This window comes from Homo sapiens, chromosome 21, assembly GCF_000001405.40.
Source record: "Homo sapiens chromosome 21, GRCh38.p14 Primary Assembly".
NCBI lineage: Eukaryota > Metazoa > Chordata > Mammalia > Primates > Hominidae > Homo > Homo sapiens.
Window position 1 is genome coordinate 39,045,535 of NC_000021.9, and position 13,015 is coordinate 39,058,549.

Here is a 13,015-nt window from a genome sequence, read left to right on the forward strand (position 1 = left end):
GTAGTTTTAGTAGAGTCGGGGTTTCACCATGTTGGCCAGGCTGGTCTCAAACTCCTGGCCTCGTGATTCACCCACCTCAGCCTCCCAAAGGGCCTGATTTTTACATACGGTTGGAGAGGAACCCAAGAAGCAGCACCGACATGACTGGTGCACTCAGTTCTATGCAGAGCATGGAGCCACACACAAAGGTGAACAAGACCCAGCCTGCCTAAGAGGGTCCCTGGGTCTCAGGGGGAAGGCAGGCGGGCAAACGAGTAAATGAAACATAGCAGACTTCACCCTGGAGAAACAAGGGGCCATGAGAACGTGCCAAAGGCAGCAGCTCCCAGTCAAGAGACCCAAAGATGCTTTCAGAGGGAAGGGAAATCTGAGCTAGGTTTTGAAAAATGAAAGACAACAAAGAAGAGTAGTCCCACCTGTGGGCCTTGGAACAGACGGACACAGTGCAATCCAGCTTCCAGAACTTTCCATGTGTGGGGTGAGGAAGTGAGGAAGTCGTGCCTCACAGTGTCTTTTTTTTAATATTTTCAAGTTTTTTTTCTACTTTTTATTTTACCTTTTTTATTGTGGTAAATTATACTTAACGTAAAATTTATATCTTAAGCGTTTTAAGTGCACAGTTCAGCAGCATTAAACACATTCAGGCTGTTGGGCAGCCATCACCACCATCCATCCACAGAACTTTTTCATCACCCCAAACTGAAACTTGTATCCATTAATCATTCCCCTTTCCCTCCCAGCCCCTGGCACCCACCATTCTACTTTCTATCTCTATGGATTTGACTGTTCCAGGAACCTCATACAAGTGGAATCATATATATGGTTTTCTGTGATTGGTTTATTTCACTTATCATAATGTCCTCAAGGTTCATGCATGTTGCAGCATGTGTCAGCATTTCCTTCTTTTTCAAGGCTGAATAATATTATTACGTGGATGGACCACATCTTGCTTCTCCATTCATCTGTCAAAGGACACTTGGGTTGCTTCCACCTCTCGGCTTCTGTGAATGACGTGTCTGTACACGGCAGTGGACCCAGGCCTGCCCATGTCCCCGCCACTCCTCATAGCACCTACCCCTGACCTCGGCGCCGGGGGTCTCCCCTGCATTTGTGTGGTGTCTCTGATCATGCTGGTTCCTAGACATTCACCCTTCAGTCCCAGTGGTAGCAATGCTGACTTTGTGCCTCTTCCGCAGCCCCTCTGTACTCATCTGAGGAGGTGACTATTCCAGGAAATGCTCCAGAACAATTCTCTGCAGAATGCCCCAGGCCCTGGCAGCTGGAAAGGACATCTGAGTCTTCTCTTCCTGAGCAAGCATGCATTTCAAGGAGGGAAGGTCAGATGACACAGTACCAACCCACCTTCTGAATGTCCCAGAGAAGCCATTGCCAGGCAATATTTTTAGGACCTCCATGAGCAGAGAACAGCATTTTTTCCTGGAGGTTATTAGCAGGCTCAGTGCAATGCAAACATCAGATAACAGCATTGCACTCTATAAAGTGTGTGTGTGTGTGTGTGTGTGTGTGTGTGTGTGTGTGTATACATGTGATGCAGACTGGCACCCAACAGCAAAAGACCTCCATGTAGCCTGGGCCACCAGGCCACAAGAATGACTCTCTAGGGATCATATGTCCCAAGAGCAAGCTCAATGCTCCTCTAACTGGACAATTCCCACCCACCCCTGGGATGAGCCAGCATGACTGTGCCATTGATACCTGGAGCAGGAATTCAACCTGAAGATCTAGGGGTAGGGGCGGGATTCCGATGGAGGGAAGAAGAGTGAAGTGTTTAATTGGTGATCAATATATGCATATCAAGAACAAACAACTACAGTATGAGGTGGAATACAAAAATTCTCACGAATTTGTGCAGAACATGAGAAAGCATCTATCTGTTTAAACAGCCTCCAAGGACAGTGCCATATTGGTACCAGAAAGAAGGAACGGTCCTGCTCCTTTATTCCTTCCTCTCCTGGCCCCTCCCCTCCCTGGAGACAGGTAGGGGGAGGGGAGAGGAGGAAGGAGCTTATATTAGTCTGTTTTCATGGTGGTAATATAAGACATACCTGAGACTGGGTAATTTATAAAAGAAAGAAGTTTAATGGACTCACAGTTCCACATGGCTTGGAAGGTCTCAAAATCATGGCGGAAGGCAAAGGAGAAGCAAAGGTATGTCTTACATACGTCTCATGAGACATATTCACTATCACAACAATAGCACGGGAAAGACCTGCCCCCATGATTCAATTACCTCCCATCAGGTCCCTCCCACAGCACGCAGTAATTATGGGAGCTACAATTCAAGATGAGATTTGGGTGGGGACACAGCCAAACCTTATCAGAGCTATCCTAAGTAAAAAGACAAGAACCAACCCCCCATTCCCAAGGCATATTTTCTGTCTGCAGCTGGCCCTGGAAGAAAAGAATCTTCTATTTTGAGTGAGGTGAGGAGTTTTCATGAGTAGATGAGGCTGGACATACTAATTACTGAGCAGAGAGAGACTTTATGGAGAATGAAATGCCCAGAGAATTTTTGATGATGAGAAAGTCACCAGAGGAACAAAGGAATCTGCCTTGATTTCAATCAAGGCGTCATGGAAGAGGAGCTCATCTCATGGGAACAACATGCAGAAAAGAATCCAGTTGTTTCCCTGTAGCCTATAAGTCCTGTCATTCACTGTTCTGGGAAAACCCTCCCTGGCCTGCAGGCTGGTTGACGAGTTGTTTGGAGGTTACCAGGGAAACGCCTCAAGGTGGGGCTTTCAGAGAACAGGAGCCACAATAGGGCCTCCGAGCTCAGGAGCCACAGCCGTGATACAGCCTCTGATAGTAAATTCCCTACAGGGATAAAAAGATAGGAGCCCTGGAGGGGATGATTCTTAAAGTCATTCTCACATGCAGTCGACATGCATGAGGTTGCCTGATAAAATACAGGACACCCAGTTAAAGCTGAATTACAGATAAACAATGACTAATTTTTTAGTATAAGTACATCCCAAATATTGCAAGAAATGTATCTGAAATATATTGCAAAAAATAAAAAATTAGCACTGGTTATCTGAAATTTAATTTAACAAGTCATCCTATATTTTTACAGTTTTACTGAGTTATAATTTACATACTATTCAACCCTACCATTTAAAGCGTACAATTCAATGCTTTTTAATATATTCACGAGGTTGTGCAACCATCGCCACAATCAATTTTAGAACATTTTCATCAGCCCCAAAGGAATCCACATCCATTAGTCACACCCACTCCCTATGCCAGCCCCAGCCCCAGGCCCTGACATCCACTAATCTACTTTCTGTCTCTAGAGATCGGCCTATTCTGGACATTTTGTATAAATGAAAGCACACAACATGTGGTCTTCAGGAGTGGCTTCTTTGATTTAGCATGTTTTTTCAAGGTTCATCCATGTTGTAATATGTATCAGTACTTCATTCCTTTTTATTGCTAAATAATATTCCACTGTATGGATACAACAGATTTTATTTATCCAATCATCAGTTGATGCACATTTGGGTTGCCTCCACTTTTTTGGCTATTATAATAAAACTGCTGTAAACACTTGTGTTTAAGTTTTTTGTAAACATATGTTTTCATTTCTCTTGCATATATATATATAGGAATACAATTTCCGGGTCACATGGAAACTCTATGTTTAACATTTTGAGAAATTTCTAAACTGTTTCCCATAGCAGCTGCACTTTTTAAAAATATATATATATGCGGCCAGGCGCGGTGGCTCACGCCTATAATCCCAGCACCTTGGGAGGCCAAGGCAGGCGGATCACGAGGTCAGGAGATTGAGTCCATCCTGGCTAACACTGTGAAACCCCGTCTCTACTAAAATATAAAAAAAATTAGCCGGGCATGGTGGTGGGTGCCTGTAGTCCCAGCTACTTGGGAAGCTGAAGCAGGAGAATGGCGTGAACCCAGGAGGCAGAGCTTGCACTCCAGCCTGGGTGACAGAGCGAGACTCCATCTCAAATATATATATATATATACACACACACACACACACACACACACACACACATTCTCACTAGCAACATCCAAGGGTTCCAATTTCTTCACATCCTCACTACATTTATTAGTTTCTGGTTTTTTCATGATAGACATCCTGGTGGTGTGAAGTGGTATCTCATTGTGATTTTGATTTACATTTTTCTAATGGCTAATGAACATCTTTTCATGTGCTTATTGGTCATTTATGTATCTTCTTTTTCTTTTCTTTTTTTTTTTAATTTGAGACATAGTCTTGCTCTGTCACCCGGGCTGGAGTGCGGCGTCACGATCTCAGCTCACTGCAACCTCCGCCTCCCAGGTTCAAGCAATTCTCCTGCCTCAGCCTCCTGAGTAACTGGGATTACAGGCACGCACCACCATGCCCAGCTAATTTTTTTGTATTTTTAGTAGAGATGGGGTTTTGCCATGTTGGCCAGCCTGCTCTCCAACTCCTAACCTCAGGTGATCCACCTGCCTTGGCCTCCCAAAGTGCTCAGATTATTGGCATGAGCCACCACACCTGGCCTGTGTATCTTTTTTGGAAAAAAAAAAAAATCTTCTCAGATCCCTGGCTTGTTTCTTAATTGAGTTGTTTATCTTTCTGTTATTGATTTTTAAGGGTTCTTTATATGTTCTGGATACTAGACCTCATCAGATATATGACTTGCAAATCTTTCCTCCCATTCTGTGGGCTGTCTTCTCATTTTCTTGATGGTCTCCTTTGAAACCCAAAACTCTTTCATTTTGATAAAGTCCAATTTATCTATTTCTTGTTGTTGTTGTTGCTGTTGTTGTTGTTGTTGTTGTTTTGAGAGACAGTTTCACTCTGTTGCCCAGGCTGGAGTGCAATAGTGCACTCCAGCAACCTCAGCCTCCCAGGTTCAAGAGATTCTCCTGCCTCATCCTCCCAAGTAGCTGGGATTACAGGCGTGCCATCATGCCCAGCTAATTTTTGTATTTTTAGTAGAGACAGGGTTTTGCCATGTTGGCCAGGCTGGTCTTGAACTCCTAACCTCAAGTGATCCACCCGCCTCGGCCATCCAAAGTGCTGGGATTACAGGCATGAGCCACCACACCTGGCCTTATTGTTATTGTTTGTGCTTTTGGTGTCATAGCTAAGAAGGCTTTTCATGACCCGAGGTTATAAAGATTTACTCCTATGTCTTCTTCTAAGAGTTTTATAGTTTTAGCTCTTACACTTAGGCCTATGATCGATTTTGGTATACGGTGTAAGGAAGAGGTCCAACTTCATGCTTTTGCATGTGGGTGTCTGGTTGTGCCAGCACCACTTTTTACAGGCATCTGCTAAATCTGGCAACCCTAGGCAGAGGTTTAGCAACTGGAACAAGTGTAGGGCCTCTGTGAGCATCAGTGGGTTAGAGTTGATCTCTTCCAGGAAAATGTTCATTCTCTTCTTTCCTCTCCACATGAATCCACACCCTCCTTCAGCCCTTGGCCTTAAACACTAAGTGGAGGCTGGAAAGGAGAGACCACTGGGCCCAGCCTCTGGTGGCATGTGATGACAGTGGTGCAATTGTTAATTTTATGATATTGACGTGGCCTTCATTGGAACCAGCTCTTGGCTAGGGCTCAACTATCTGGACTAATCTTCACTCCACTTTAAGTTTGGAGCCTAAATCCTGCAACAGCAACTAAAATTTATGAATGTTTTTCTTTCCTGGAACCAAGGCCCCTGGTCCAGGTCTCCTATATCTCCTCCATTCCCTTTTAAGTTGTATCCTTAGCCATGATGACAGGCATCAGAAGGCATTCCCTCTGTTCAGGGCCTCTGAACCGAGCCAGTGGCAGCTCTTCCTGTCCCCTGCCACCTTGGTTCACAGAAATCCTCTTCCAGTCCCCTAGGCCGTCAGCCAAATTGCACAGTGAATTCTGCCTGTGAGAATTTAGAGAAACACTTGTTGGACTGTGTTCCTACAAGCAGGTGTTGAGGCTGCTCAACAGAATGTCTGTGAAAAGACCCAGCCCCCATTGCCTATGCTGTCCCCTTCCTGGCATTGAGCCTGAAAGCCAACCGGGCAATTTACTTTAAGGCTCAGACTTGACATGGCTCATAACTTTCTTCTGAGCCCATGAAGTTACTTCCCCAGACAAGCTCTGTCATCTGCGTGAGATGACTTATCCATTAGCAAGGATGAATAATGCCTAAACACATCACTGGATCTTCCCCAAGCCCCGCTAGGGTATGGAGAACAAGGAATAATCCTGCCTGCAGAGCTGGAATCAGGCAATCACCCACAATGCCTTGAGTCCTTGATTCATCCCTGGGAATCATGGCTGAACATGCAGCCCAGGCCCATCCAAAGCTCGAGGGATGGGGAGGGACAGCTACACATTCCAAAGAATTTGTGTCAACAGAAGCCTTGGTGTCTCTTAATGACCCTCTGGGATGAAGGCAGAAGAAGCAAAAATAGATCAACCCCCTCCATTAAAGAATGATTATTTTTTTCCTACCTTCATAGTGGGAAACATACCATTGAATTTGCACTTTATTAATGAAATGTATCATCAAGTTTACCTTTACTATGTGTATCAGTCAGGTTCTACCAGAAAAACAGATCAATTTCATATATATGTGTGTGTGTATGTATTCACACATTCTGATCATGTATATACACATCATACATATATATACACACATACACACATAACACATAGGTACATACACACATAAACACACATACGTACACACAAATATATATTACTATTATGTATATAAATATATATAAAATATACATTATATAAATATATATTAAATGTGTATATATACACACATTCTGATCATGTATATACACATCACACACACATACACATATATACATACACACACATAAACATACATACAAATACATCTATTACTATTATGTATATAAAATATAATGTATACTTTATAAATATATATTAAATGTGTGTGTACATATACACATTCTGATCATATATATACACATACACATATACACACACATACATACACACACATATACACGAATATATATTACTATTGTTTATAAATATATATTAAATGTGTATATCTATGGATTACTTTTTTATATATGAATATATATTACTATTATGTATATATACAATGTATATTTTATAAATATATATTAAATGTGCATGTGTGTGTGTATAAAATGTATGTAGAGACAGAGGAGAGAGAGACTGATTTCAAGGACCTGGCTTACACGATTGTGGGCCCAGGCCAGGCAAGTCTGAACTCTGCAGGGCAGGCTGGCAGGCTGGATACTCTCGGGCAGAAGCTGACACTGCAGTCAGCAGATGGAATTTCTTCTTCCACAAGGAAACCTCAGTTTGCCTCTTAAGGCCTTTCCACTGATTGGATGAGGCCCACCCAAATTATCAAGGATAACCTCCTTTACTTAAAGTCAACTGACTGCAGCTGTTAGCCACGTCGACACAATGCCTCCACAGCAATGACTAGACCAGGGTTTGATTAAACAACTAGGTATTGCAGCCTGGCCACATTGACACACAGAACCAACCACGGCGCCAGAAATGCTTCTCTGTTGTTGGATAAGGTGCACGGGTGCAAGGTTTAGATGAAGCAGCTGAGACACACACAGGATGCGGAATCCGCTAAGTGACCCAAGGTAATGCAGACGTGAAAGGCTGAACTTGGAAGACTTGAAGGAATTATGAGCCAGGGCCCTGGACCAAACTTGCAGAGAACTCAGAGCTCACCCAAAGGTCCTCAAGCCAGGGCCAAGCATCGGCTCCCACACGCCAAATCCCACCCACTTCGGGTCTCCTCTTCTCACTACCCTCCCAGTTCTGATCACGTCTGCCACCCGCTTAAAACTTCTCAACCCAAATTCCTTTGCCTGAGATGTAAGACCACTCAGACTCGGTCTTGGCCGGCTTTCCCAGCCCCCTCTGCTGCTGAGGTTAGCCCCCTTGACCGAGGCAGTTACACTGCAGAGTACATGCAGGGTCCCCCACACCCCAGCTCTGCCACGTCCCAGCTCCTTTGCACGTGCTGTGTGAATTTCCCCTGAACACTCTTCTGGTTTTGATATGGGACTCATATTATCCTCAAAACCCACCTTAATCACCACTACACCTGAGAAATCCCCACACCCTCTCCACCTAGAAGTCCCCCACTTGGGCAGGTGAGGGGCCCCTCCTTTGTGCTCCACTAGCTACATCCCTCCATCTGTTCATCTGTTCGACATTCCTCTGTTCTTACCACAGTATGATAGAACTATGCCTTTATAGTCAATAAGCTAAGATCGTAAGAAAACTAATCCTTTTTTATGGAATGAGAGCTACTATAGCCAGGGAGTCAGCAAACTAGAGCCCACAAGCCAAATCTGGCCCACTGCCTGTTTTTTTAAATAAAGTTTTACTGGCACACGGTCACACCCATTCACTTATATATAGTTCATAGCTGTTCTCAGGCTAGAATGGCAGAAGTGAGTACTTGCCCAGATGGCCAGCAAGGCCTAAAATAACCACTGTCTGGCTCTTTATAGAGAAAGTTTACCAATCCCTGCTATGGACTCATCAGTGAGGTGATAGCTGGAAGATGAGGGTGGTGCCACTTCCCAGGGAAGTAGATACTTGATAATGAATGGGATTTCCACCATGGTACACAGCTACTTCATGACAGTTGCTCATCTAGAGAGGGCAGACCGGCATGCACTTGTTCAAGCTGGGAATGTCGCCCTGTCAGGAACAGCAGGAATGGCAGCATGCTCTTTGGGTCTGGAGTTCCTCACACTGAGGGAGTTATAATAGCTGTGGGGTTTCCAGGACTGCTCGTGAAGATTTCACTAACCCTGGCTTTGCCCAAGAAGGAGTAAGTGCTTCATGGAAAAGGCCCTGGAGGCAGAGTCTTGGATCCGGGAGCTTCCAATGTTTCTATGAATCTATGCAAACATGGCTTAACTGCTGGCTCAGTTCTTATTGACTTGAGGGCCTCAAGAAAACTCCAGGGAAGACGCCAGTGAATTAGAGGATCTTTCTCAAAGACTTTGAGATTCTCAAAAATCTGATGATGAACTGGAACATGTGACCATTTCATGGTGCTAGAGGTTATGGAGAAGGGGAGACCATGATTTCACTCCTCAAGGAAAAATCAGCCATGGAGGGTCAAGGAAGAAAGGGACAAACTCCTTCTTCCTCTCCCATCTTCAGATACCCAGGTCTCTGGGGTGGAGATAGCAAGACCTGGGGTTGGCTATGTCTTTGTAACCAGGGGCCCCATGAGTGGGACTGTCCTCCCCAAAGAGCCTGCAAGTGTGCAGTGACAGTAGCCAGAATCCACACAAAGACGCATTCCAATGTCATTTTCCCCACTGGAAGGGGCTCTGCTTTCCAGGTTAGTGAATTACTCTCGTAATTGCAAGTCGGAACAAGAGCCCCAGGGGAGATCTTCGTTTGGATGCCACCGCAGCATAACTGTAGCTGAATGCTGACTTGAAGTTCCAACTGTGGGACAGAGCCACACCGGCTGTGGGCGGGTCTCAGAGAGCTCAGCCACCCCAAAAGCTGAGACTGGTCAGCATTCCCAGCTCAGACATGCACAGGTTGGTCTGCCCTCTCTAGGTGGGCAACTGGCATGAAATAGCTGTGTACCATGGTGGAAACTCCATTCATTATCAAGTATCTACTTCCCTGGCACAGTCCTCATCTTCCAGTCTATTCAGAAAAATTTCCCCAGGATTCCAAATTATTTGCAGAAACTGTGGCCATTTATCGCATCAATGCCATCTGCTCCCAAGGTTCACACAACGGAATCTGGCAAAATCACACACTGCTCAAGAGTGGGAAAAAATATTCCATCTTCCTCTTCCCCAAGAGAAACGAGAAATGACACTTGTTTTTTCCAAGACACTCACTCCAAAGGAGTTACAAAGGATCCAGAGAGATTTCTCATCAAAGGGATTCAAGACAATGACAATTTCTAACATAACTGAAATGACTGATCTGCTACTCAGAAACTTCTTAATTGCCTTGACCGCTCTCTACCCTTGCTTCCAGTAATTTCGTTATTATTATTGTGTTGGTTGTTTCGGAAAACATCTCAATGTGTTTTCAACAGTTGTCATGGAGAGCTGGCATCATAAGGACTTCCTGGAGAAAAATCACCTCAAAGGCTCATGTCCTCCACACACACCCCCAGCACACATGCAAGGATTTTGCAGGAGAAACAGGAAGGAACTTTGAAGACAAAAATATTGTGATGTGATCTATAAATTCATTTCTTTCTTTTGGCACTCATGTGGGTCCTCACCATCTGCCATCACCTACAAATTATTGGCTTTTATTACAATGTTATGATTACACATGACAGCAAACACAAAACTTTAACAAATTAACAAAGCATAATTAACACAACTGAAACGTGATTGAGAAACAGCTGCAAACCAAAGCTCTAACCAGTAAGGAAAGGCACCAGAGAATGTGTCTACATGCAAGTGTTTAGCAATATCTTTGTATTGAGACTATTTGTCAGCTCAGAGGCACAGCTACCTGCCAATATCAAGAGACATTTTCTAACATCTAAGCAGTTGTAGAGAGAATGATTACTGAAAAATCCACAAAATCACCCAACAAGGACGTACAAATTCCATAATGTTGGGCGAAACAAAGCATTCTGCATTTTTCACAAATAGATACCTGCATAAATCATTTAATACTGTTCCTTTCAATCATCAGGATCATCTTTGTATTTGGAGTCCTGTGAAAAGTGTACTGCATACAAAAGCACATGGAACAAAAGAGCACCAAGATGTCACAGGTGGAAGAAAATGGAATCTGTGCTCCAAGACTCTGCAATCTCTATTAACAGCATTACTATTCAAAGTTTGTGAAAGAAAGTGCATGAATTCCGAAAGCCATTTGTTCCCTCTGACATGATGGAGCTTTGAGGAAAGACATCTAATAGAAGAGAAAAGATCAGAAGAGAAAAATCAAACAATTGTGTCTGTGAAGCATGCCTCCCTTCTTAGAACTTTCTAACGTTTAGGGCAATACCCAGACTTTCTTTCCTTGTTGTACTTCCACCCATGTCCCCCTCTTTGGGAGACAGGATCACCGGCAGGTGCTATGCTTTTCTTTGGGACCCCTTCAGTTTCTTCTCTTTACTTCCCATCTCACCCCTGACCATTCAGGCCTATTGCCTAATCCCATTTTTAATTTGCTGTCACTTTTTTTCTCTTCCTTCCCTTTGAGATGCTGCTTGGAACATTTTTCCTTTTCAGTATTCTCCTTTTAGAAATTTAGAACATTCGCCTTTGAAGTCTTATCTGCAATTTTTTTCCTCCTCATTAAGTTCCAAGTTCCACTGGAAAACTAGGAGAGAGGAACAAGTGGCAGATGACAAGAATATTAAAAAGGACTTAGAAACAGAAAATGCCACTCTCACAACAACCAGAATATAGAAAATTGAGCTCATGTAAGCTTCCTAGATCTTAACCGCACTGATGTGAGGCAAATTGCAAAGTCACAGAATTCCTGCAAAGGAAAGAAAAATTCTCTTCTCACAACATAGAGGGGGTTTGGTGTTATTGAGCCACGGTGCACCTGTGTGCTAATTTTAACCGCTCCTTTCCCTCCTGCCCCCATGCCCTTAGGGACATGCTGAAGACTCAGTAAGATGAAGGAGGAGCCCAGACACTCCCTCCTGGCTCCTTTTCCAGCCTCACCTGGAAACCTCCTCAGAGACTCCAATCCCTGCCCATGCCCACCCGCCAGACACTCCTCTTCCCTCTGTGCTCATTCTACAAACAAAATGCTTCAGGAGCATGGCCAGCAGCACTGGCTAGTTGCCATCAGGAGGGAGGGCTCCTGGTGAGCCCCCTCTCTCCTTGCCAGGTGTATTGCTTTCCTGCTGCTGCCATAACAAGTTCCCACAAACACAGTGGCTTACAACAACACAAATGGATTATCTTGCAGTTCTGGAGGCCAGATATCTGCAATGGGAAACACTGGGCTAAAATTGAGGTGTCAGCAGGGCTGGTTCCTTCTGGAAGTTTCAGGGGGGAATCTGTTTCTTTACCTTGACTGGTTTTCTAGACAAGGCTGCCTGCATTCCATGGCTCCTTCCTCCTCCTTCAAAGCCAGCAACAGCAGAATCATATCAACATGAGTTGGCACATGCAGGAATCATTTTGGGGTGGTAGGTGTTTTCATGCATGCGATGGCTTCCACGTGGTAGAGAGAGTTGACAGTAGCCCTTAATTTCTGATTTGGGCAACTGAGATGTGAGACAGGGGATACAGGGACAGAAAGGGACTTGATGAGAGTAGGTCATAATAATAGCTAGCACTGGCCGGGCATGGTGGCTCACGCCTGTAATCCCAACACTTTGGGAGGCCGAGGTGGGTGGATCACTTGAGGTCAGGAGTTTAAGACCATCCTGGCCAACACAGTGAAACCCCATCTCTACTAAAAATACAAAAAATTAGCCGGGTGTGGTGGCAGGCACCTGTAATCCCAGCTACTCAGGATGCTAAGGCAGGAGAATCGCTTGAACCCGGGAGGCAGAGGTTACAGTGAGCCGAGATCATGCCACTGCACTCCAGCCTGGCAATAGAGCGAGACTCCATCTCAAAAAAAAAAAAAAGAAATAATAGTCATAATCATAATAGCTAACATTTACCTGTTCACTCATTCATAAATACTGATTGAGGGTTCTGTGTGCCAGGCTGTATTTTTCCAGGCACTATGTAGACAATAGTGAACAAGACAGATGAAATCTCTGACCTGGGAGTCTTCTGCCAGAATCCATGAAACTATGGCAGGCCCACTTGTTAGTTTGCAAGTAAGGTAAAATCTCAGACAGCTCACAATTCTTCACAATGCTTTTTAAAACTGTGTATCTTAAGGCCTTTATACAAACACGTTAAATCTGGTCTATGGAGTCTGCCTAAACACTGGGAAAGACTTTAATCACAAAATATTAATTTTACACACCTTCTCACCGAGTTGAAAAGCAATGGAATCCCAAGGAAACATAGTA

At 44.2% G+C, this 13,015-nt stretch overlaps 1 long non-coding RNA gene across 2 annotated transcripts in view, besides 1 other annotated feature; it reads right to left on the bottom strand.

The window, feature by feature from the left end:
* The window catches only part of LINC02943 (long intergenic non-protein coding RNA 2943), a 56,010-nt gene that overhangs the window by 17,011 nt on the left and 25,984 nt on the right, over positions 1-13,015 (bottom strand). The gene's annotated exons all lie outside the window — the stretch shown is intronic.
* Positions 9,869-10,163: a silencer, noted in NCBI's record as "tiled region #7751; HepG2 Repressive non-DNase unmatched - State 23:Low". NCBI's record gives its function as "represses a minimal TATA promoter and a strong SV40 promoter by Sharpr-MPRA in HepG2 cells {active_cell/tissue: HepG2}" and the evidence as "EXISTENCE:reporter gene assay evidence [ECO:0000049][PMID:27701403]".